The sequence below is a fragment of the Homo sapiens genome, chromosome 17 (genome assembly GCF_000001405.40).
Source record: "Homo sapiens chromosome 17, GRCh38.p14 Primary Assembly".
In the NCBI taxonomy this organism is placed as follows: domain Eukaryota; kingdom Metazoa; phylum Chordata; class Mammalia; order Primates; family Hominidae; genus Homo; species Homo sapiens.
This window is the reverse complement of record NC_000017.11, coordinates 29,033,180-29,057,330: the sequence shown is the minus strand read 5'-3', so window position 1 is coordinate 29,057,330 and position 24,151 is coordinate 29,033,180. Positions and strand designations below refer to the sequence as shown.

At 47.8% G+C, this 24,151-nt stretch overlaps 1 protein-coding gene across 1 annotated transcript, besides 2 other annotated features; it reads right to left on the bottom strand.

Moving 5' to 3' along the window:
• Positions 1-114: 114 nt before the first annotated feature.
• PIPOX (pipecolic acid and sarcosine oxidase) lies at positions 115-14,190 on the bottom strand. Its single transcript, NM_016518.3, has 8 exons — positions 13,992-14,190; positions 12,324-12,472; positions 4,198-4,411; positions 3,736-3,918; positions 2,640-2,786; positions 2,110-2,268; positions 1,443-1,518; positions 115-1,156 (listed from the first exon to the last, which is right to left on the bottom strand). Exons 1-8 carry the CDS (start codon positions 14,103-14,105, stop codon positions 1,026-1,028), a joined length of 1,173 nt encoding a protein of 390 aa, NP_057602.2. The 5' UTR covers positions 14,106-14,190; the 3' UTR covers positions 115-1,025.
• Positions 2,345-2,899: an enhancer, noted in NCBI's record as "H3K4me1 hESC enhancer chr17:27381450-27382004 (GRCh37/hg19 assembly coordinates)". NCBI's record gives its function as "activates a minimal SCP1, AML or CMV promoter by ChIP-STARR-seq in naive and primed H9 embryonic stem cells {active_cell/tissue: H9 hESC(naive and primed)}" and the evidence as "EXISTENCE:reporter gene assay evidence [ECO:0000049][PMID:30033119]".
• Positions 13,823-14,711: an enhancer, noted in NCBI's record as "OCT4-NANOG-H3K27ac-H3K4me1 hESC enhancer chr17:27369638-27370526 (GRCh37/hg19 assembly coordinates)". NCBI's record gives its function as "activates a minimal SCP1, AML or CMV promoter by ChIP-STARR-seq in naive and primed H9 embryonic stem cells {active_cell/tissue: H9 hESC(naive and primed)}" and the evidence as "EXISTENCE:reporter gene assay evidence [ECO:0000049][PMID:30033119]".

The following is a 24,151-nucleotide window of genomic DNA, read 5'->3' as shown; positions in this document are numbered from 1 at the left end:
GGGGATAAAGACTCCAAGGGTTCCTGGGTTAATGGATTCTGTGGTGCTAATTTAGACAATTAGAGCCTGGAAGAAATGAGGTCACACAGAAAAGAAAGCCCGCTACAGACTTAATGCAGGGCAGTTATTTATTTGTTCAACAAATATTTATTGTTCATCAAAGACGAGCCAGATTTTATGGGCATTTGTGATGGAGGCTGGCCTTAGCTTTAGGAGAAGGAACTCCAAGAGCAGTAGTGATCTCTGAGATCACCTTGTTCACCCTCCTCGGGGCAGATTTAGTCAAATCCATCCCAAGCTCTTCAAATATACCAGCAAAGAGGTTTTTTTTGTTTTGTTTTTTTTTTGAGACAGAGTCTCACTCTTTTTGCCCAGGCTGGAGTGCAATGGCGCAATCTCGGCTCACTGCCACCTCCACCTCCCGGGTTCAAGTGATTCTCTTGCCTCAGTCTCCCAAGTAGCTGGGATTACAGGCATGCGCCACCACACCCAGCTAATTTTGTATTTTTAGTGGAGATAGGGTTTCACCATGTTGGCCAGGCTGGTCTTGAATTCCTGGCCTCAGGTGATCCGCCTGTCTCAGCCCCCCAAAGTGCCGAGATTACAGGTGTGAGCCACCACACCCGGCCCCCAGCAAAGAGAATTTTTAACAACTGCTTTGGTCTCCAGAGCCAGTTCTTGTGCCCTCTTCTTACTGATATACCCATCTCAAACGTCCTTGCTACTCTGTGATTGTAGAATATCTGATCAACCTTCTGGGAGCGAGAAAGTAGTTGTGAATGGGGAGGTGGCCAAGAAAAGAAGGTAGACTCAATCGTCTGGTGTTTACGGGGGATTCAAGTGAGGCAGAAGAAAAAGGGAGCGGGCCAAGGAAAGAAGGTAGACTCAATCATCTGGTGTTTATGGGGGATTCAGGCGAGGCAGAAGAAAAGGATGATATCTCAGGGACACTCCCTTCATCTGAGACATCTTCTCCATCTGTGAAACTGGCTCCTGTGCACAGAAGGGAGGCTTCTGGCCAGAGGTCAAAGGTGGGCTTTGCCCAGGCTTGGGAAACGGCTGATTCGAAAAGGTGCCAAGTCATAAGATGGTGTTAATTTCATGCTTAATTCATACAGGATCTTCCCCACCACAGGGGCCAGCTTGAACCCGTGCCCTAGGAAGGGAAGAGCAGACTCTCAGGCAGCTTCACAGACAGAGGTTGAGCTCTCTGGACATCCCCTACTTACCCAGACAGGGCTGACTGTCCTCCTGGTCACATCCCAAAGCCAGAAGTGGCCTCCCACCATGAATACCCCTTTTCTGACTGCCCAGCCTCCTTATACCTACAATGTCCAGGCTTCACACCTATCTGGGCAGCTAAGAGTGTGGAAAATACCATTTCACCTGGCACTGAGGTAGGTCAGCTTTAAGGCACCCCATTCCCCCCAGCTCAGACTCACCAGAGAATCCAGCACCAATGACAATGTTGTCATACTTTGGGTGGCGATCGAGAATGAACTGCTCATCAGGGGTATTCTAGAAAGAAACAGTCACACCTTGTGTTCTTTGAGGCTCGAGGGAAGAGAAAGAACTGCAGGCTCTAACTGGAAGGGGATGGGCTGGATTTCTTTCCAGAAAGGATGGAATGAGGCACAAGGATGCTTTCCGCATGCCCGTGCCCCTCTGGGTGTGCCAGTCTTTTTCATTTGTCCGGCTGCCTTTCTTCTCGCACAGAGCTACGAACACAGTAGGTGTTCAGTTAATCTTTGTAAACTAACTTTAGCCAAGATGCCTTAGGCCGTGGTGACATCTGTCTCTTCTCTTTGTCCCTAAGGCCTGCTCAACTGGAGGAGCTTGCCAGAAAATCTTTTAGAGCTCTTCTGGGAATCAGAGTGAAGGACCGACTGCCAGGCATAACCTAGTTTCCTAATGAAGAAGAATAGGAATAATTTCGAACAGGACCCTCCCTGGTAGAGGTGAACCTACCCACAGAAATGAGCCCGTTTGTTTAAAGTCACACACTATGTCAGGGGTCAAACAATCGGGCCTGGCCAGTGCAAGGTCTGTCTCCTTCTTCCCTTCTGTAGAGTGGTGAGGGGGCCCAGCAAGGCTGCCCAGACCCCTTACCGTGTACATGCAGCTCTCAATGACAGCAGGCTCGGGCTTCAGATCAGGTAAGTGATCTCTGACAAAGCTGCTCAGGATCTGGACGTCTCCGATGTCTGTGCGTGCTGTGGGGCAGTCCCGCTCCTCAGGGTCTGCGTGGTTGCCGTGGTGATAGCTGACCTGGCTCCCAATCAGAGTGGCATGAGTGGTGAGGGCTGGCCTTCCACACACACCCACAGCCGAAGGGCAGGCGTGTACACAGGACAGCCCCATCCATCATTCCAGCCTTCCCCACTCCTGGCAGGTGCTGTGGGCTGTCACCTGAGGCTGCTTAGCTGTTGGTCCCTGCAACCACCCTATGTTTGCAAAGGAAGGGCTCCTTTTGCTGGGCCTCAGGGCAGCTGAGGGTCTTTCCTTGCAAATCGCCATGAGTGAAGCAGGCTCCTGCTGCTGGCCCCGAGACCCAAGGGCATCTATGGAGGGGAAAGTTAGAGCAGCTTCCCCTAATCTGCACTGGCATCTACCTGCCTTATCTCGGTCTTTCCGCTCACCTTCATCAGCCCTGGGTACTCTCCTGTGGGCAGTCCGTAGATGTGGTGGGGACACAAGCCCAGCCACAGGAAGCACGGAAAGGCCTGGGACACACCATAGCTCCCAGGAACCATCTCTCGCCAGTAACACACGTTGATCCGCAGGGTCTTGAGGCAGGGAGAGGAAGTGGGAAATGAAGAAAAGCCATGGAACTCTACAGCAATGAAAGCAGTTTCTCTGGGCCCCTGCGGCCCTCTAACACAAGCCTGGACACCCAGTTGAACTCATCCATGTTTGTCTCTCCCACTTCTCATGTTGTTTACCTGTTACATGTGTTATGATGCACAAACATCTCTGAGCCTCTGTCTCTTCTCCCATTCTTAGTTTTCTCCCATAACTACACCCAGCCCCCAGCCATATTTCTGTCTCTTTTCGGGAATTAATAAGACCTCAGGTTTATTGAGTGCTTACTATAAGCCAGGTTATGTCCTAAGGGCTTTATTTTTATTTTATTTTATTTTATTTTATTGAGACAGGGTCTTGCTCTGTCACCCAGACTGGAATGCAGTGGTAGAATCACGACTCATTGCAGCCTCAACCTCCTGGGCTCAGGCCAGCCTCCTGGGCTCAGCCTCCCAAGTAGCTGGGACTACAAGCACACGCCACTACACCTGGCTAATTTTTCTTAGTTTTTGTAGAAACAGGGTCTCGCCATATTGCCCAGGCTGGTCTTGAACTCCTGGGCTCAAGAAATTCTCCTGCTTTGGTCTTCCAGAGTGCTGGAATTACAGGTGTCAGCCACCACATCCGGCCTCTTAAAGGCTTTATATACAGCATATATTAGGTTAGTGCAAAAGTAATTGTGGTTTTTGCCATGACTTTGAACGGTAAAACTGCAATTACTTTTGCACCAGCCTAATAATTTAATTCTCCAACAGCCCTATGAGGTAGCTATCATCCCCCATATTACAGATGATAAAACTGAGGCTCGGTGAGGTGAATGAATGTGCCCAAGGTTGTCCACTAGCAAGAGGCAGATCCAGGACTCAAATTTGACTCCATCTGGTTCCAAGGCTTCTCTTGAGCACCAACTCTCGGGCTTCCAGCTCCTCTTACCTGGAGAGGCATCTCAATGCCCAGGGGACGGAGGAGCTGGTTGGTCCAAGGACCTGCTGTGATGACCAAGCTCTTAGCTTGGTAGCTCCTGGAGGTGGTTTTCACCGTGACCAGTAGCCCTGGGTTTATCTCCACCACCTTCTCTCCGTCACGCACTATGCCTCCTAGCTGTCGAATTGCATCCTGAAAGGGCAGGAGCAGGGAAAGGTGAATTAGTTCTGTATGTGGTTCACCCTGGTGGACAGAAAGCCTTTTGCCTGGGGCAGAAAAGAGTGCAGAATCTAGACCTGTCCTGTATTGACAAGGCCAGCCGCATATATTTCACTGCCCTGCTGGAAAAGTCAAGACTAAAGCCTGCAGGGCAAAGGCCTCATCCAGAGGGGGGTCTTGGGCTGGCTGCTTGGGACCCAGGACACCCAGAGCAGGGAGCACCTGCATCGCCCCAGTGCTATACGACATTACCTGCAGGGCTCTGAGGGCCTTATATGCATAGATAACTCCTCCGGAATTGTCCAAGAGCCCCACTTCTCCCCTGGGCAACCGAATATTTGGGAAACGTTGCTTCAGTTCCTCAGATGAAAGACACTGGTGTTCTACCCTCTGCCTCGACAGATTGGCCTGGATTGTCTTTAATTCTTGATTCTCTTTCATTCCCAGCAGCAGTAATCCAGTCTGCCTGTTAAAAAATAAGTCACCTAGGTGAAGGTGTGTTTCAAAATCCTGGGCCTGATGTGACGACTCACGCCTGTAATCCCAGCACTTCAGGAGGCTGAGGCAGGAGGATGACTTGAGGCCACTAATTTGTTCACTAGCAGCCTGGGCAATATCATGAGACCCTGTCTCTGCAAAAAGTAAAAAATTTTTAAAAAGTAGCCAAGCATGGTGTCACATGCCTGTGATCCCAGCTATTTGGGAGGCTGAGGTGAGAGGATCACTTTAGCCAGGGAGGTCAGGGTTGCAGTGAGCCATGATTGCACCACTGCACTCCAGCCTGGATGAGAGAGCAAGCCCCTGTCTCAAAGCAAAACAAAGCAAAGCCCTGGGCCATTTGCTCTCCTTCAGGAGGGATCTCGGGTCCAGGTGTAGGCCCTGAGAGGAGTCATGGCCTCATGTTCAGAGAAGAGGTGAAGCCATCTAGATTCAGTCGGTAGAATCCCAGTATTCTCATGCTGATTTCCAGCCCATTCCCAAGTCTGCCCTTGGGCTCTCACTATTGGTTTTCTTGTCCTCTATGCCCCTTCTCAGGACCCATCCTGCCCTTGAGGGCAGAGATCCTAAGTCCTCTTTCATGTCCCATGGCTTGGAAGTGGTGGAAGTTCAGTCAGTTTGATGAAATTTCTTCCCTTCCTCCTGTCCCCTGATCCCATTCACTATTTTGATCTCTCTGTTCTGTATTCTCCCCTGCCCTCCCCGCTTCCCTCTTTTTCTTTCTTGTCATATATGTTTGTCCCTTCCTGTGTGTCTGTCTCTGTCTCTCATTCCTCAGAGGCTGCCTGTTTTGTGGAAAGGGTCCTAAACTGAGAGATCTGGCTCTGTCTCTAGTCCTGGCTTCACCTTGCCCATGACCTTGATTAGGTCACTCACCTCTCTGGGCCCAGATTCCTCCTCTGTAACGTGCCTGTTGAACAACTGATGGTTCCACACCAGGGTGGTACCGCCCACTCACCCGCCCACCCAGGGACAACTGAAAATGGCATGATCCATTTTTGTAGTTGGCACAATGCCTGGTGCTGCCTCTCACATTTAGTGGGCAGGGGCCCGGGATGCTACACCTGCAATGCTCGAGAAGATTCCACCCCAAATTCCAGTGGTGTTCTCATGCAGAAACACCGATAGATGGTCTCCTAGGGCTCCACCAATACACTCAGTGACTGTGATTTTGTTTCTCCCTGTACCTCCCTCTATGCTTTTACTCCCTAAGGGAGTGAAAGCTGTTTCTCTTTCATGCTTCCTGCCTCTCTGTCACAAGAGACCAGAGCTCCCTTTTGGGGGGAAACGGATAGAAACAATGGAAGAGTCACTCTGGCCTTTGGGACTGTTCCCGTGGTCCTTCTCCATTGCAGCTGCTGCACTGCCCAGCAGCGGCCTGGTACATCCCCCAGGTAGTGGGTGTAAAGCTCGTAATAGCCTATAATGGAGTCTCATGGATATTACATGCTTCCAAATCCCACATTATCTGGTTGGGGGGATTAAAGAGAAGATTGGGAGGGGGTAGGGACACCGTGGGCCCTGGGGCGGGTGTCAGTACACAGAGCCGCGCAGCGTGCCCAATCCATTTGCCATGGCCCCCGCCTACCCAGCATTCACCACCAGCGAGATAGCAACGAGAGCTCTGCCTCTTCGAAGCTCAACAGAGGAAAGATGCAGTGGAAATCCCTGCTCTCAGCTGACTGTCTTTTTTCTGTGGCCCCCAAAAGGACTTCAGATTGGTTCAGAGGTAATGAAAACTTACCTAGTAAACTTTTTTTTTTTCCCAAGACAGAGTCTTGCTCTGTCATCCAGGCTGGAGTGCAGTGGTGCGATCTCAGGTCACTGCAACCTCTGCCCCCGGGTGTAAGCAATTCTCCTGCCTCAGCCTCTGGAGTAGCTGAGATTACAGGCGCTCACCACCACACCCGGCTCATTTTTGTATTGAGCCTTGTTGGCCAGGCTGGTTTCGAACTCCTGACCTCATGATCTGCCCACCTCAGCCTCACAAAGTGCTGAGATTACAGGCAGGGGCCACTGCACCTGGCCAAACTTTTTTTTCTTTTTCTTTTTTTTTTTTAATGGAGATGGGGTCTCACTCTATCACCCAGGCTGGGGTGCAGTGGCACGTTCACAGCTCACTGCAGCCGCAAGCGAGCTCCTCCTGCCTCAGCCCTCCAAGTTTCTAGGGCTACAGGCACATGCCACCACACTTGGCTAATTTTTTGTGTGTATAGAAATAGGGGTCTCGCTGTGTTGCAGAGGCCTATCTCAAACTCCTGGCCTCAAGCAATCCTCCTGCCTTGGCCTCCCAAATATTTGGGACTACAGACTACAGGCGTGAGCCACCACACTTGGCGAATTTTTTGTGTTTTGTAGACACAAGAGTCACACAGTATGTTGCCCAGGCCTATCTCAAACTCCCGGCCTCAAGCGATCCTTCTGTCTTGATCTCCCAAAGTGCTAGGATTATAAGATGAGCCACTGTGCCCGGCCCTAGTAAACTTCTTACTCAACAAATAAGTATGAAGTCACTCAGGTGTATTTCCTTGAGTCCTTTTTACCCAATGGGGTCCTGGCTGGGAGGGATTCTGGGACAGACCTGGCTTAAACCACACCTAAGCAGATGTAATGTGAAATCCCTGACCTGGAAATTCCAGAGCAGCATATTCTAATCTCTGCCTGCAATATACCAGCTTTGGCCTCTCATATACTCTGAGATTTCCTTTCCCTTTTTCCATTGTTTCTTCCTCCTTTCTTTCCTCCTTCTTTCCTTCTTTCCTTGAAATGACTCCTCTTACAGGGATGTACTATGTGGGAAAAATGAACTCATGCCAAGACAACGGGCATATCTGTTGAATTATGAAATGCTGAGTGATGTTCTAATTCCCAAGCCATCCTGTGGTGGATGAAGCGGGAGCTCCCCATCCCTGGGAGTAATCAGCGAGCTGATTCTGCCGGTGAATGTAATTGTGCCGATTGTAATCATTTTGCTCCAGCTCTCTGCCCCTGTGGCATTTCTTTCTTAGCCCAGATATTGATATAACAGTGGGAAATTTTCCATCTGAATGTGTGATGCCAGACCCTCCCCTAGTCCGAAGATGTGTTTGGGAAATTCTCATTTTCCGTGGATCACAGCTGAGCTATTTGGCCTGAGGGAAACCGTGCGCTGCTGGAGAAATGCCTTGGATTGGAGAGAGATTTTTGACCATTATGAGCAAATCGGAAATAAATGTAAAACACTGCCTGGAAATGCAAAGGCCTGTGATTATGGGAGATAGGTGAGAGGCTCCTATGGGAAATGCTTAGAGAATTGGAAACCAGTCAGTCAAAACCGGGATTGGAGAATGGGCCTTTTCCTCCCAGTATGAAGATGGATGGCTTCCATGGGCAGATTGAAAATCATTTAAGTGCTTATTTTCTTAATGGCTTTTTCTAGATACCAACAAATAGACTGCTCATTCTGCATCAATTTCTCACCCCTGTGTTCGTGGCCTCCCTGTCTTCTTTTTTTCTGCTTAGACCTGGGCTGTAAGTTTGGGAAGGAGAAGGGTGAGAGGAGACAAGGGCATCAGCAGGATAAAAAATGACCGGGAAATGAATGGTCAGGACTAGCTACAAAGAAGGACTGAAAGCCAGCACATGGGTTGCCAGGGAACCCTAGAAAAGAGTGCAGCTCCCACCTCCCAGAATGCCCATCAGCTGAGTCAAGAGCATTTAGTATGAACTATTCCTTCCTCCTGACCCTAGCTTGATCCAGCACTAGGAAGAGGTAATTGAAGATTCCTCCCGAGGGCCTTGTTGACTCTGCTATAGCCCGACTAATGCCTCAGATATGATGTAGGGAGTTGGTGATCAGGGATTTCCACCAGTTACTGTAGCAGGACAGGGTGTAGGATGGAGTGGGGAGGAATTGGGAGAGGAGACGGCTCTCCCTGCACCTGCCATCTCCCATCCCAAGCTTCAGCTCTCCCCTCTGTGGGTTAAAAATGCCCAGCAAGCCAGCTCTGAGTCACCTTGGGGAAGGGATTCGAATGGGGACTTGGTAATGGCTGCTGCCTTTGTTGGTTTTGGAGGAGCTCTAGGCATTTCATCTTCCGTTCAGTGGGCCGAGGTGGAATTGGTTAACAAAGACTGCTCCAGGGAGGGGATGTGGCTGACAAGCCAGACACTTCGCAGACACAAGAAACAGCAGCTGCAGAGGGGGCCACCAGGTTCTGCCAGCAGCTGTACTGCCTACGGCTGTGATCTTGTCTGATACTGTCAGCTAAGCAGGGGCAGCCCAGGTCAGGAGCTAGACAGTAGGACTCAAAGGGAGAAGGCGGGGCAGGAAAGAGATGGGCCAGGGAGCTGGGTTTTGCTGTTGGAATCAGCATCCTGGCTGTACACATCACAAAAGATTCAGACCTTGTGATCTGACACATGTGTCATTGTCTGTTCCCAGAATATATGCAAATGTCCCAAACCCACCCATGTTTAGTATGCCGCTGTCACAGGAAGCAGCTAAACAGAATGAAAAGCACTGGACAACCACCTGAACTGCCAACTCCTAAAGGTTTTTTTTTAATCATCATCAAATAGCATTAAGTATGCTCATATCTATCAGTAGTATTATGGTATTGTGCTGGTTCTTCTAGAAAAACCTGGGGAAAAGTAAGAACCACACAGATGATGAATCATTTAGAAAATAAGAATCAGTAAAAGCTAAAGGAATTAGAATGGCTTTTAGCCCAAAGGTAGTAGAGCTGTATTCAGATACCATTCTGAGAATGGGAAGTATCTGCTCTGTGTCCCTGCTAAGTAAAAGAACCAAATAAATTGGTGTGCCTGAGTACATTAGGTTAGCCATAAGAAAGGACTTATAATAATAGAATAATAACAATAGTAGTAAGAATACTTAGCACTCTAGAGGTTTTTAAAGCATATTCACATTACTTTTCATTTTTCGTAACTGGGGCTATGAGACATCAGAATGGTCTTTTAAGAAGGGCTGTGATATTTCCCTGTCTTTAAATGCATAGTAGCAGTCTTTTGACCTGGGATGATTTAGGCATGAACTTATTTGGAGACAGAAATGGACAAGTTAACCAGTTTGAGGTATCTTCCACACCCAGGGCCAGCAAGCTACCACTCAGGGACCAAATCTGGCCTTCTGCTTGTTTTGGTCTGGTCCATGAGCCAAGATGGTTTTTAAATTTTTTAATTGTTGATTTTTTTTAATCCAAAGAAGAATAATGTTGAGTGACACATGAAAATTATATGAAGTTCAAATTTCAGTGTCTATAAATAAAGTTGTATTAGAATACATCCAGGCTCATTTATTTACATCTTGCTTTCACACTACAATGGCAGAGTTGAATAATTGTAACAGAGACCACGTTGCCTGCAAAGGCTAAGATACTTACTACGTGGCCATTTATAGATAAAGCTGGCCAACCTCTATTCTAGACTTAAGAGTATAGTAATTCTGTGATTTGCATTAATGGGATAAGACCCTGACTACCCGGCAGCAACCCTCTCATAAGATTGTGAGGAGAATGGAATGAGTTATAGGTGTCAGGTACTTAGGCAACTCTTAGTTTTTTCTTTTCTTTTCTTTTCTTTTTTTTTCTTTGAGACGGAGTCTCACTCTGTCACCCAGGCTGGAGTGCAGTGCAGTGGCGTGATCTCGGCTCACTGCAACCTCTGCCTCCCAGGTTCAAGCGATTCTTCTGCCTCATCAGCCTCCCTAATAGCTGTGATTACAGGTGTCCACCACCATGCCTGGCTACTTTTTGTATTTTTAGTAGAGGCGGGGTTTCACCATGTTGGCCAGGCTGGTTTTTAACTCCTGACTTCAGGTGATCCACCTGCCTCAGCCTCCCAAAGTGCTGGGATTACAGGCGTGAGCCACCATGCCCAGCCTAGTTTCTTATTGTAAACACTACATATATGGTGAGGAGGAGGAGGAAGATGGTTTTCCAGGTGCTGTTCTAAGCCCATTACCTACTTATCCTCACCCCAGCACCATGACACAGGTATTAGTATCCCTACTTCACAGATGAAAAAAGCTGAGTCTCACCAGAGGTTCAACAGCTCGTTCCAAACCACACAGCTGAGCGTGTCAGAGCTGAGATTTAGAGCCAGGTCCAGTTCCAAAGCCCGTCCAAATTCCTGTCCTCCTGGCAAAGAGGAGGATTGTGCGCTTCTGAGAGTCTCCTACCCAAGGATCCCTCTCCCTCTTTCCTGCTGCCACTCCCCTTGGTATCTGTGGTTGTTGCACCCATCTGTCTCCTCCTGCCTTTCCTCCCACTGTTGCTCAATGGAACAGAATGCAGCTGACCCAGAATGGGTCAATAAGGGACTGCCCCTTATTGAAAGGTGCTAGACATTGGGCCAAGTATTTCACAAAAGTCTCATTTAATCCTCTCAGAGCCCTATCGTAAAAAGTGAGGCACAGAGAAGTCAAGAAACTTTTCCAAGATCACACAACTGGTGTGGAATAGAGCACAATGTCAAACCTAAGCCTGTCTCACTCCAGAATCGTCTCCCTCGGAAAGATTCCAGACACTCTAACGTCTCTTAGTTGCCTCATTGTGTGCTAGGAGGAAGTGTGCCCTCTGAGGCCCAGGGCGATTCTTTTAGCAAAAGATGCTCAGCAGTATTCACAGACAACTGACAGAGAGGGGTCCCTCTGCCGGGCCACCCACCAGCAAGACATGCTCCTTTATTTGGGTGCTGGGTGCATTAGCTGCCTCTGAATAAATCTGTAATTAGCTGCCCTGGCTGATTTGCATAATGGATTTCACTTTGTTCTTAAGTTAATGGTATTTTTGCAACAGAACACTAACCTCTTGGTTCCTGGCCATTAAAATAACCACCACCCTATCAGGTAGAGCCAGGGTTTGTAGGAAGTTCAGTTAAGAGTCACAGAGGAGGTGGGAGGGAGGTGGGATGGTTAAAGTTCCCATTGCATCACAGATTATTGGCTTTCTTTCCCATGAGTGTTTGAAAGGTCAAGGGTTGGAGAGAGCCATGAAGGCAGCAGAGAAAGACGTGGAGGCTCACTCCCTGGCAAGCAATCCAGCCTGGGGAACGTCCCCATTTTGTTCCTACAGGAAAAGGTACTCAGAGAGAACAAAATGGGTTTATAGGGCTGCTAAAGGGGGTGAGGACCCCTCAGGAAAAGTTAGGATGTTGATTTGACTATAAAGAATCCTGGGCCAGGCACGGTGGCTCACACCTGTAATCCCAGTACTTAGGGGGGCCGAGAAGGGCAGATCATGAGGTCGAGAGATCAAGACCATCCTGGCCAACATGGTGAAACCCTGTCTCTACTAAAAATACAAAAATTAGCTGGGTGTGGTGGTGCGCACCTGTAGTCCCAGCTGCCCGGGAGGCTGAAGCAGAAGAATCACTTGAACCCGGGAGGTGGAGGTTGCAGTGAGCCAAGATGGCGCCACTACACTCCAGCCTGACAAAAAAGCGAGACTCTGTCAAAAAAAAAAAAAAAAAAAAAAAAAAAAGAATCCTCCTGAAAGCAGCCTCCTCCTCTATCTCAACCCCTGCCCTAAAAGAGTTGCAGAGGCCTCCACAGAGTTGAAAATACACACTCCAGCAGACTCCTGTCCACTCTGGGCATCTGCCACACGGTGCCTTGCCAGCAGGCTTTCCAGTACTGCTTCTGCTAGCCTTGGACACATGGTCTGAACCCAGTCCTGCAACGCAGAGCCTGGCCAGAGTCAGCTGGACCTGTGGGGTGACCACCATGACAGCAGAACTCTTCCATGCATCTGGTACTTCTTGAGGCCTTGTGTCCCTCCCATTGCATTCCAAATGTTCCATGGCGCTGCCACTTCACACACTAAAAGTACCTGCAGGTGCAGAGCCCCACGATTCAAGGAATTCCTCCCACAGCCCACCTGTGCAATTGGGTTCCAGCCTCGTGCTCCAGCTGGGCCCATATCTGATAGCACTCATGCATCATCCGGGTGTAAAAGTCTTCCAGGTACGCCTTTCGGATTATCCGGCTTTGTCCATGGGAGCTTCCTCGGGAGTGTGGTAGAAAGAACTGGAAGTGGAAAACAAGAGAGATGATGGAAGCCATTACCCCTCACACTGCATCCCCTGTTAAGAGCCATATCAGCATGTGCTGTCAACCAGGAGCCATTTATCCTTCAAATATTTCCACACAATCTGGGGAAGGATTATGCACAGGAAGATAATTTGAGCCCAGGAATTCAAGACCAGCTTAGGCAATATAGCAAGACCCAGTCTTCTCAAAAATTTAAAAACTATCAGGTGTGGTGGCACTTGTAGTCCCAGCTACTTGGAAGGCTGAGGTAGGAGGACTGTTTGAGCCCAGGAGTTTGAGGCTGTAGTGAACTATGATAGTACCACTGCACTCCAGCCCGTGCAATAGAGTGAGATCCTGTCCCCCCACAAAAAAAAATTCACACAATCTTTCCAAATTCTCTCTTTATGACCAATTTACTGACTTGGCAATCAAGATAGAAGTTCTTCAATAGCACTAACTTAGGCTTCCTTTTTGCTAACGTTGTTCACATCCAGAAGTTCTTTTGTTAGCTAGTCTTCAACCATCCTGCTGCAATCTCACCTCACTTAGATTCACAAAGAAGCAAAATTAGAAAAAACCTTCCAGTTCAACTACTCCAGCCCCTTCATTTTATGAACAAGGAAACTGATGCTGACTTTATTTCTCTGTGGCTACAGATCACTCAGGGTAAGAGAACCACCTCAGGATTCAGCAACAATGAGTTTCCTGAGAGGATGAACCAGGAATCCCTTGGGCTTTGAGAAAACTGATAGAGAAATGAAGAAGGTTTCTAACTACTCTGGCTCATTACCAAGAAGAGCAAACCATAGCCAGCCTGGGTAGCTGCAGGCAGAATGGAAAGGGAGAGTCCACTGCAGTGGATAGCTGGGTGGCCCTGTCCTCGAAGGACCCTGCAGACACACAGGGCCCACCCACATATGCAGTGGTCACTGCAGACTGCACTGCGTAGCAGGAAAAATAAGGCCTCAGTCTCACTTATCATGTGTCAAACAAGGAGGCTGCTATTATCTGGAGGTGGCAAAAAATAAAAAATAAAAAAAAAAAACAGAAGCTTCTGCTGGGTTCTGGTGTGAGAGGCCAGGAATATGCAAGACAGAATCCTACCTCTTAGGCTGATAAATCAACCTTTGCCTCTAGGCAAAATTATCTTTACTTTAGGTTACCTAGAGCAGAACCAATTATTTTTCTGGGGTGGGGATCAACCATTTGGGCACAGAAGGGAAAGAGTAGTGAGAAGGAAGAGAACAGGGCCTAGGACGCTTGGTCAAGGGCAGGAACTGGGAAGCAGTAGAAAGAGGAAATGTGCCTAGAAACCCAATGTGGGTATGAGGGATGTGAAACTTCTTTGAATTGCCATGAAACACACTAGGCAGCTAAGATACAAATTACACAGAATTTTTGATGATTCAGTCCCTTTGGCCTTGCCCTGTAGCCTGCTGGCTCTGAAAACCCTTCTGCAGGGGAGGAGGGTAGGACAGTCCTTACAGCTGGGGGTGCAGAAGGGACACAGTACCTGCTCCAGCAGGAGGATCCTCTTCCTGTGTTTGGCCAGGTGGTATGCAGTGAAGCAGCCCTGGATCCCCGCCCCAATCACAATGGCGTCCCAGAGATCTTTCTGAGCCGCCATGATGCCACTCAGCCCCACAGCCACAGAGCCTCAAAGGCAAAGGCAAGCAAAGACAGGCTCCCGGCTAAAGGACGAGGAGGAAGGCAAAGTCCAGCCTGGCCAGTGTTCCCACAATGCCCTGGGGTCGTGTCCTCCCGCTTCCCTCTCTGCCAAGCCTGGCCCAGGGCTCAGTCTCCCTTCCCCTGCGGAGCAGAGCTGGGTAGTCTGATTTGTGAGGTTTAGCCCAGCTCAGCCGCCAGCCTCACCCTTGCATCCCTGTGGCTTTCTATTCTTGGCTCAATTATTGTCATGCAAATGGGCTCCTTCCTTTGCCACCTTCCTGTCTCATTATGATCTTTGTCTCAGGACTTCGGCCCTGGAATTTCAATGCCTCCTAGACCATACTGGGCACCGGGAATGCTGCCTCCCCCTGCTGGTTTTCCCCTCTTCAGCCTGATTTGCTTTAGAGATTCTAGAGGGCCCCGCTAAGAACTTGGCACGATGCCCAGAATAAGACCCACCTCCCTGGTGGGTGGTGAGGTCAGGGGGTAGAGGCAGGGGCCAATTGGGAGGGCAGTTTTGTAATTATGAAATTATTCCCAGCATGTTTTACTTTCATTTTGAAGAAAGAAGAAATGATCCTGAAAAGACAGAAAGGGCAGAGTGAGAGGAGGAGCCCTCTCCTCAGCCACAGAGAGGGGACCAGGCCAGCCCAGTGCCTGGAGGGGCCCCGTGTTGAGCATCTCTCTGTCCCAGGCAGTATGCTTAGTAAGTACTGATACTGGCATTTGGGTAGGGCTTGATTGTCATACAGTTCGAGGGTACTCTTTGAGAAAAAGAAAAAAGGAGAATTATTAATACAAAATTAGATGCCCGGATGTGGAAGAAACTGTTCAATTAAGGACCCCCATGGTTGAAGTTTCATTTGCTTCATGGTAAATTTGCCTCTGCATGAGTTATCTCATTTACTCCTCATAGCCCTAGGAGTTTCTGCGGGTTTTTGTTTTTGAAGTTTTGGTTTTTGAGAGGATCTCTGGGATCTCACTGTCACGCAGGCTGGAGTGCAGTGGCACGAACTCGGCTCACTGTAGCCTCCACTTCCTGGGCTCAAGGGGTCCTCCTACCTCAGCCGCCCGAGTAGCTGAAACTACAAACGCATGCCACCATGCTCAGCTAATTTTGTTTATTTTTTGTAGAGACGAGGGCTCACTGTGTTGCTCAGGCTGGTCTCGAACTCCTGGACTCATACAATCCTCCCACCTCATCCTCCCAAAAGCTTGGATTACAGGTGTGAGACACTGCACCTGGCTTAGGAGTATTTTTATGCCTACTTTTGGCAGATTAAGGATGGCCCCAAATTCTTTTTCACTCCTTCTATCACAGACTCTGTGACTGCTTGACCCATAAAATATGGCAAAAGTGATACCATGACACTTTCTGGCACAGCCCTAAAGAGACTGGCAGCTTCCTCTTCTTATGTTGGAGCCCTTACTTTTTTTTTTTTTTTGAGAGGGAGTCTCGTTTTGTCATCCAGGCAGGAGAGCAGTGGCACTATCTTGGCTCACTGCAACCTCTGACTCGTGGGTTCAAGCGATTCTTCTGCCTCAGCTTCCCGAGTAGCTGGGCCTACAGGCGAGCGCCACTACACCCAGCTAATTTTTCATATTTTTAGTAGAGACGGGGTTTCACCATATTGGCCAGGCTGGTCTCGAACTCCTGACCTCATGATCCGACCACCTCGGCCTCCCAAAGTGCTGGGGTTACAGGCATGAGCCACCGCACCTGGCCAAGGAGCCCTTACTCTCTGAGCCCTGAGCCACCATGTTAGAAGTGCAGGCACCCTATGGGAGAGTTCACATGGAGAGGACCTGGGACCAGGTGGAGAACTCTATATAAGAATGAAGTTATCTTGGTTTGGGAGGCTGAGTCAGGAAGGATCGCTTGAGGCCAGGAGTTCCAGACAAACCTGTGCAACATAGCAAGACCTTGTCTCAAAGAAAAGTGAAGTCATCTTGGTTCCTCCAGCCCAGCCTAGCACCAGCCAAATAGTACCAAGTGACCCAATTGATGCTGCATAGTGCAGAAGAATCACCCAGTCAAGCTTCATTCCTGATCCACAAAACCATGAAACAGAATAAAATGGTTGTTGTTTTCAGCCACAACATTTTGGGGAGGTTTTTTACACAGCCATAACCAAAATATTACTTAATGGCTGAAGACGTGAAGGCTTAGAGAGATTCTATCTTACCCAAAGCAACACCCCTGGTATACAAAGACACTGAGGCTGGGCACAGTGGCTCACGTCTGTAATCCCAACACTTTGAGAGGCCGAGGCGGGAGAATCACTTGAGGCCAGAAGTTTGAGACCAGTCTGGGCAACATAGCAAGACCGCATCTCTACAAAAAATGTTAAAAATTAGCCAGGGATGGTGGTGCATGCCTGTAGTCTTACTTACTTGGGAGGCTGAGGCAGGAGGGTCACTTGAGCCCAGGAGTTTGAGGCTGCAGTGAGCTATAATCACACCATTGTACTCCAGCCTGGGCAATGGAGCAAGATTCCAGCTCTATGGAAAAAAAAAAAAAAAAAAGAAAGAAAGAAAAGAAAGACACTGAACTGTGAACCTAGGTCTGTCTGCCCCAGAATCCGTTCCTTTAACCACTGTGCTTTACTGAGGATGAGTCAGAACTTGTAATGATGATTCCGATTTCAATATTTTGCTATTTCTCCCACAATGAGTGGGAGAAAATAATGGTCCAGGAAACCCACATGACTACAGGGAGCTGCCCTGCCTCCTTACAGTGGCCTGCCAAGGCCGCCAGCAATGCTTCTCATTCCACAAGTAATCCCCCAGACTGATCTTGGCAACTGGCTGTCCTCTCAGCCTAGCCCTTTTGTTCTTAGGAAAACAGGAGCCCAGAGAGGAGGTGCCATCGGACTGGATTTTTCTTTATCTTTTTTTTTTTTTTCCTGTTACAGGATTTCAGTCTGTCACCCAGGCTGGAGTGCAGTGGTGTGATCATAGCTCACTGCAGTCTCAAATTCCCAGGCTCTGCTGATCCTCCCACCTCAGCCCCCTGAGTAGCTGGGACCACAGGAGTGCACTACCACGCCCAGCTTATTTTTTGTAGAGACAAGAGTTTTGCCATGCTGCCCAGGCTGGTCTCAAACTCCTGGGCTCAAGCAATCTGCCCACGTAGGCCTCTCAAAGTGCTGGGACTGGCTGGGTGCGATGGCTCACGCCTGTTATCTTATCACTTTGGGAGGTCGAGGTGGGAGGATCTTTAGAGGCAAGGAGTTCAAGACCATCCTGGCCAACATGGCGAAACCCTGTCTCTACTTAAAAATACAAAAATTGGCTGGGTGTGGTAGTGCAGGCCTGTAATCCCACCTACTCAGGTGGCTGAGGCAAGACAATCCCTTGAACCCGGGAGGCGGAGGTTGCAGTGAACCGAGATTGTGCCACTGTACTCCAGCCTGGGCGACAGAGCAAGCCTGCCTAAAAAAAAAAAAAAAAAAAAAAAAAGTGCTAGGTTACAAGCAAAACCTACCATGCTTGGCTTTTTTTTCTTCTAAAAAAAAAAAACCCCAGAATATATATATATATATATATATATATATATATATATATATATGTATGTATATTTCAAGAGTCCAGAAATCCTCACAACTCCATATGCCACTCCCACCCCCCGGAACAGGCCAGCATCCACATCACAACTGGACAGCTCCCCAGAATAAAAAATGGCTGACATAACCGAGAAAAATGTACTATCTGAGTATGTAAAGGCTTGATATAAATATATAAGATCAGCCCCCAGATTTCTCTTGATAAGATGTCAGAGGAGATGAACAGTTTACGTACAAGGAAAAGCAGACAATAAATCCTCACATGGAAGTGTGCCCAGTCTCACTAGCAATGAAAGAAATGGGAATTAAATAACTTCAAGGTACTATTATGTGCCTATTAAATTAGCAAAAATAAATAAAAATGACAATCTCTTATGTTGTCAGTGCTGTGGGGACAGAGATAGAGGAGGGTGGCAATTTGGGTTGTCAGGATCTCCTGGAGGTGGCTGAGGCAATACACAGCAATCCGGGTAAAACAGCTCAAACCTTCTGACCTAGAAATTCAACCTGGGGAACCATATCCCAAGGGGAGACAAAGGTATGAAGATATTGATATCTGTGCTTTTACAATATAAAAAAATGGGAAATAACTCAACCACAAGGAATGGCTGAACAAGCTCTGGCTCGCTGGCACAATGGAATACTACGTAGCTATTCCAAATAACAAGCTGGACTCTGCTATGCAGAAATGTGTGTATGAGATAACCCTGAGAAAGGCAAGCAGAACACAAACAGACACACACACACACACTGCAACCAAGTGTTCTGTGTACGTGCGATCAAAAATCGAAAGAGAACTTGGTGGAGTAATTGAGCTTCATGCTCATTAGTTGCCACATTCTATAAAAACCACACATCCATTCACAATTTGTAAAAGAAGGAGCAAGCCCCCGGGGAAGCAGATGCTTCAAATCTCCCTGGCCCCTGGTTCCAGGGCCTGGGGAATTTCACTCTTTGTTCTAATCTCAGTTCTTCCTGCTGCCCTCGATATTTCTTATTGTTCAGTCCTCCAGGGAAGCTACAAAGCGTCTCTGTATCCCATACCCCCACCCCCACTTTGTTTAATACAATATCCCTTCAGAGATAAAATGACAATTCCATTTCCCCATCCCTACTTCACAAGGCTGCCCTGGATTCCTGGACTCAAGCATTCTGCTTCTCATTAACAATTTCAAACAGCTCCTCCGAAAGCAGACACTGGCCATGGCCCAACCTTGAAATGAAAAGCGAATCGACTTCTGAAGGCTTCCCCTTCTCTCAGGGTTGCCCGTCCTTGCGGCTGTCCTGACAGGGACAGGCAGAGAGACGCTATCCACTCAAATTCCATTTTAACACCCATTCTGGATCGGAAGACTATTAAAGGGAGAGCCAGCAGCCTTACACCTTGCTGCTTGTGTGTGTCAGCAATCGCTTCTCGTGTCCTGGGGCAGAGACGCTGAGGATATGAGGCTGAGCTGCTCATCTGATGGCTTGATTGACACTTTGCAGACGGGGGTGGGAGAGCTGAGCCAGGGAAGCGGCAAGCTGTACAGATCAGAAATAATGAGAGGACCCGAATCCGGAGAGAGCAAGGAATAAATGAGAGACCTAGGAGTTGGATGGCGAGGGAAACGCTTCTGTTCTCTTTTCCCTGCTCTGCTTTGCCAAGGAGCCTGGGGCAAGGAGGCAGGCAGGCAGACCAGGAAGGGCTCCCTGGACCCATCCTGCCAGCTGCTGGGGCATCTGGGGCATCCAAATGTGCAGAGGATGCCAGCGTGAGAAAACAGAGAGCGGCAGAGCAGGCTTTGTGCGTGGTCTCTATACACATCGCTGGCCCAGTTCGAGTCTCAGGTTTAATCTCTTCTCTGCCATCCTCCCTCCCTTTGCCCCCGGGGTCACCTACCCACCATCTCTTACCTAAATTATTGCATTAACCTCAAAACATTTCTCCCCGCCCCATCCTAGCCCCTCTTAATCTATCCTCCGCATCCCTGCCAGAGTCATCTCTCTAAACAGCAAATCTGAACTGGTCACTCCCTGCTGAAAATTATTTAATAGCTGCCTATTTCCTATTAGGATAAAATCTAAATTCTTTAGCTTGGCACACAAGGCGGTTCACACTCTGGCCTCTACCTGCTCTTGCAGCTTCGTCTCAGGTCCCTTCTCACTGTGTCCTTTATGCCCGGGCAACGCTGAGCCTAGAGAGGTTTTAGCATTCGGTGTGATTCTTCCAAATTCCCCGACACCCCCAAGCCCCCTTAGACAGTCTCTCTCCTATACTCCCTTCCCACCCTGCGCATCTCAATAACACTGAGCATATTGCATTGTAATTGTTTGCATGCCTGCCTTCCCCCAAGCTCTTTAAGGAGAAAAAGCCTTCTTTTCATTGTCATTTTTTTGTAGGTAATACATACATATAGAACAACATAGTGTACGAAAGAGACCACTGTGGAAAGGACGTCTGTTTCCACCCTATCCTCAGCTGCTTAGTTCTCCTCATCAGATGCAAGCAACGCTGTTGCTATTTTCTTTTGTGTCCTTCCAGAGATGTTCATGGGTAGACAAACATATACAGTATATTCTCTTTTATTCATCTCAAAAGTAGGGTACAAGAACACCCTGGTGTTTTCATTTTCTTTATCTTGGCAATCCACATCAGTCATACCGAGTGGGCACCTTCTCCCTGACGGCTGCATAGTATTCCATGGTGTGTAGGAGACATTTGGGAATAAGAAGGCACCCCCTCCTGTTTACTGATAGGTAGTGAGTTTCTCTGGCTCTCATAGGTGCCCTCGAGTCACAAAGCTCTCTAGCTGTCTGCTATTGGGTGTTCAGGGAGGGCGAGATGCCTGTTCTGGGCTGGCCCAGCAAGGTTTATCAAAGGCTGACAGCGCCCTCTGTGAGTGCCCAGGACAGCACCCACCTTCAGACCAGGAGGTGGAGGGGATTGAACACCCAGAGACCCTGGTTTCTGCTTCCTTTGTATTTGTTAAATGACATATATTAGAGTCAATGCTTCTCCCTCAAGATACAAGAGTACAGTTGCTAGGCAGACTCCAGGGGAGGGCAGAAAATAAGAAAAGTCTTGGGAACTAAGACCATAACCTCGAGAAAATACAAAGTCATGATTTAGCCTGGAAGTGAGGGGCAGGCAGGATAAACTCGTGAATGAGCACCCTCAGACCTCACTGGGACAAAAGGAAATGCACTGAGACAAAAGGAAAAGGAGGGTGGAGTGGCTTTCATCTGTCTCCAGGCGAAACTTCCCAGCAGGTAAACAATGGAATCTTCTTAGCCTTATTTCCAGGTCTTTCTCTGTCAATCCTACATAAAGACATGTCCATATTTGCACACTTATCTGACTGTGGTGCCCCAAAATATCCCCAGGTATTCATTAAGTGGTGTCTTCATACACATGTACATCCGAGTGTGTATATTTCTACCCCTAGGCTTTTGGAGAAGGCCCCATTAAAGCTCAGCAGGCAGTGGGAAAAATGAGAAATCAGAGTGCTCAGAAGTGGTCCTGTTTCTCTGTGGAGGTGAGGGTGTGTCTGGGATGGAGACGAGGTATGTGTCCCCTGTTGGCAGCTTTCCCTCCCTTCTCTGCAGAGATGCATTTCCATGTCTTTCTTGTGCCTCACAGCCTGGATATCACTATACCCTAAAGTGGGGAGTTGGGGAAAGAGTGGAAATTGGGAGCAGGAAAAGTAAACAGCTTTTGCATGAGCTGGATTGGCTTGATAGGTAACAGGGCAACAAAAATTCAGCAGCATGCAGGAAGATTAACTCCAGCATTGGGCCCTCTAGTAGTCTCCTTTCTGGGTAGATGTGGTCTTCCCCTCCTAGCTCTGCAGCCAGACCTGCTGATTTCGCTGTTTATTAGGGAACATAGACAGATATGCAAACTCAGGTCTTCCCCACACTATCCCGCCAGCCATAGGGTCATGGAGGCAGAGAATCCAAGGGAAGCCTGAGAAAAAGGAGGAAAGGAAAGCAGAATTCTGGATAACAACTTCTAAGCCTTCTTCAGTGCCCACCTTCTGCTTGTTGCCTCCAGACTGGCCCCTAAGCCAGTCTGGCCCATCTCTCGGCCACGATGCCTGCAGACACATCTTTCTTACTCTTTTTTCTCACTGTTTCTTATTCTGTTCTTTTTTCTGTTTCTGCCTTGGGTCCCCTTCCTTCCTTTGAAGTCAAGAGAGAAAGAGAGGTTTAAGGTAAAGCCTAGCGTGGTATTGTGGCATGCATCAGTAGTCCCAGCTACTCTGGAGGCCGAGATTGGAGGATCACTTAAGCCCAGGAGTTTGAGTCCAGCCTGGGAAACATAGCAAGACCTTGTCTCTAAAAAAAGGAAGAAGAAGAAGAAGAAGAAGAAGAAGAAGAAGAAGAAGAAGGAGAAAGAGAAGGAGGAGAAGGAGGAGAAGAAGGAGAAGAAAGAAGGAAAGAGAGAGAGAGAGTAAGAACATAACTAAATAAAAATAAGGGAAGACCTTCATGGATGGATAATAGGAAACCAGGACCTAGCTAGGGAAGAGGCCTTGAGGCAGTGGAAAAGGGAGAAAGGCCTAGAAGAGCCAGGGAATCTTTGGTGCCAAAGCCAGAAGGCTTTGCTTCTTGTTGAGAAGCCTAGAGCTTTTTCTTCTCACTGGGGTTTTTATGGGAAGTTTAAGCATGCTAGAGCTGGGAAGGCTCAGCTGTACCCCTCCCTCCTCTCTCACCTGGCTGCTGGTTTAGACAGGACTGTCATGTTTGGAATTTCACACCTCTTGAATCTGTAGACTGGTGTCTTTCATGTGCTTTGGAAAACTCAGCCATTATCTCTTCAAATACGTTCCTCTGCCCTATTCATTCTTCCCCCTCTTTCTGCAAAATACATACAATAGATCTCTGCATGCTGTATCTCTTATCTTCTCTATTCTCCCCTCTTTTTTTTTTAATCTCTATGCTGTGTTCCAGGTAATTTCTCCTTATTATCTTCTACTTTGCTAACTCTCTGTTCCACTGCATCTAAGCTGTTTTTAAATTAATGAGTTGAGTTTTAATTGCTGTTACTATATCTTTAGTCCATTTTGTTACCTTGCATAATTTCCTGTCCCTGCAAATATTTTCAAGCTTGTCTTTTATTTATTTGACTGCAGTAAGCATGATTGTATTATAGTCTACGTATGATCATTTTAATGTGTGAAGTCCTCACGAATTTTTTATTTTGTCTCTTGTTTCTCTGAGTCTCACTCATGGAGCCTTATTTTCTTATAGGCTTGGCTGTCTTTAACAGTATTCTGGTAGCTGTGCTTGAACAAATATATTGGAATTATTTTCTTATGAAAGTGCCTTCTTTTACACCACATTGTGTTTATTTCTGCCAGGCATCAGCGGCACAACCATCTAAACCCAGTTGCCAGCCTGAGGTTCCCTGGAGTACCCAGGCAATGTGAATGGGGCTAGCTTACTTTGGTTTACCCTTACCCTGATGGTGTAGCCCTTTGGGGGTCTCAGCATATTGAGGGGAGAATCTTCTACTACAGTCTCCACAATGAGCAGGCACTGGGCTTGGATTTCCAACCCCCTTACTCTACCAGACCATCAAAATGAAAGTTCAGATTTGCAAGAATTGACAGATGCTCTTTAACGGAAAAGTGATTTCTATGCATCCTCTAGTTTTCTCTTCCATGTTGGCCTGTTAATTCCTTACTATTTTATTAACTCTTCAAGGCTTTTAAGATGTTGTTGATATTTTATCTAGCATTTTTCATTCTTTTTACTGGGATAATCGGTCCAAATAACTCAGCCTGTCATTGCCAAGCTTCTGAACTTGGTTGCAATCAGAGTACTAGCTCCTAGAATATCTAAGCTCTGCAGTATCTTCTGCATGTGTACTGGTCTCTCATTTCCTTCATGCCTTCCTCCCCAGATGCCTAGGGTGAAAAAAGACAGTGGCAATTGTCAACAAGGATGACCACCTACCTCCTAGGGAGCAAGAGTGAGAATCTCTTGATAGCCACTCTTAGAGCTAGATTTAGGCGTGGACCAGCCAGGCTTTGTCTGAGGGGCCAATATACATGGAACCCTAAAGCGTCATCATGAATTGGAATACCTTAGAAGAGCATCTTGCTGTCTAGAATGTTTTTTAGGGAATCACTATATTTGTTTTAAAGAAGGAATATTTTGATAAGGTGCAGGTGCAGGCTGTGACCTCCCAAGGTTAATTGCTTTCCACTAAGAGTGGGTCCTGCTTACAGCTTTTGTTTCAATGAATGGGCAGCAATTGCCCACCAGCACTGAATTGCTCAGATCCACAGACAGGCATGGTCCTCTGTTCATCCTTCCTTTTTGTGGTGCCTAACCTCTATAAATAAAGTGTTGAACAAATATTTATAGAAAATAAATTTTCTGTCTATGAGGATAGTAAGAAACTGGCAACACTAGTTGCCTCTGGGGAGTGAAGCTGGGTGGAATCTTG

Bases quoted from the DNA above. Each gene is read 5' to 3' on its own strand.
- PIPOX (NM_016518.3), bottom strand. From the start codon at position 14,105: ATGGCGGCTCAGAAAGATCTCTGGGACGCCATTGTGATTGGGGCGGGG. The intron at 12,473-13,991 runs GTACTGTGTCCC...TTCCACTTCCAG, and splicing joins GGATCCTCCTGCTGGAGCAG to TTCTTTCTACCACACTCCCG. The intron at 2,787-3,735 runs GTAAGAGGAGCT...CCCTGCCTCAAG, and splicing joins GCATTGAGATGCCTCTCCAG to ACCCTGCGGATCAACGTGTG.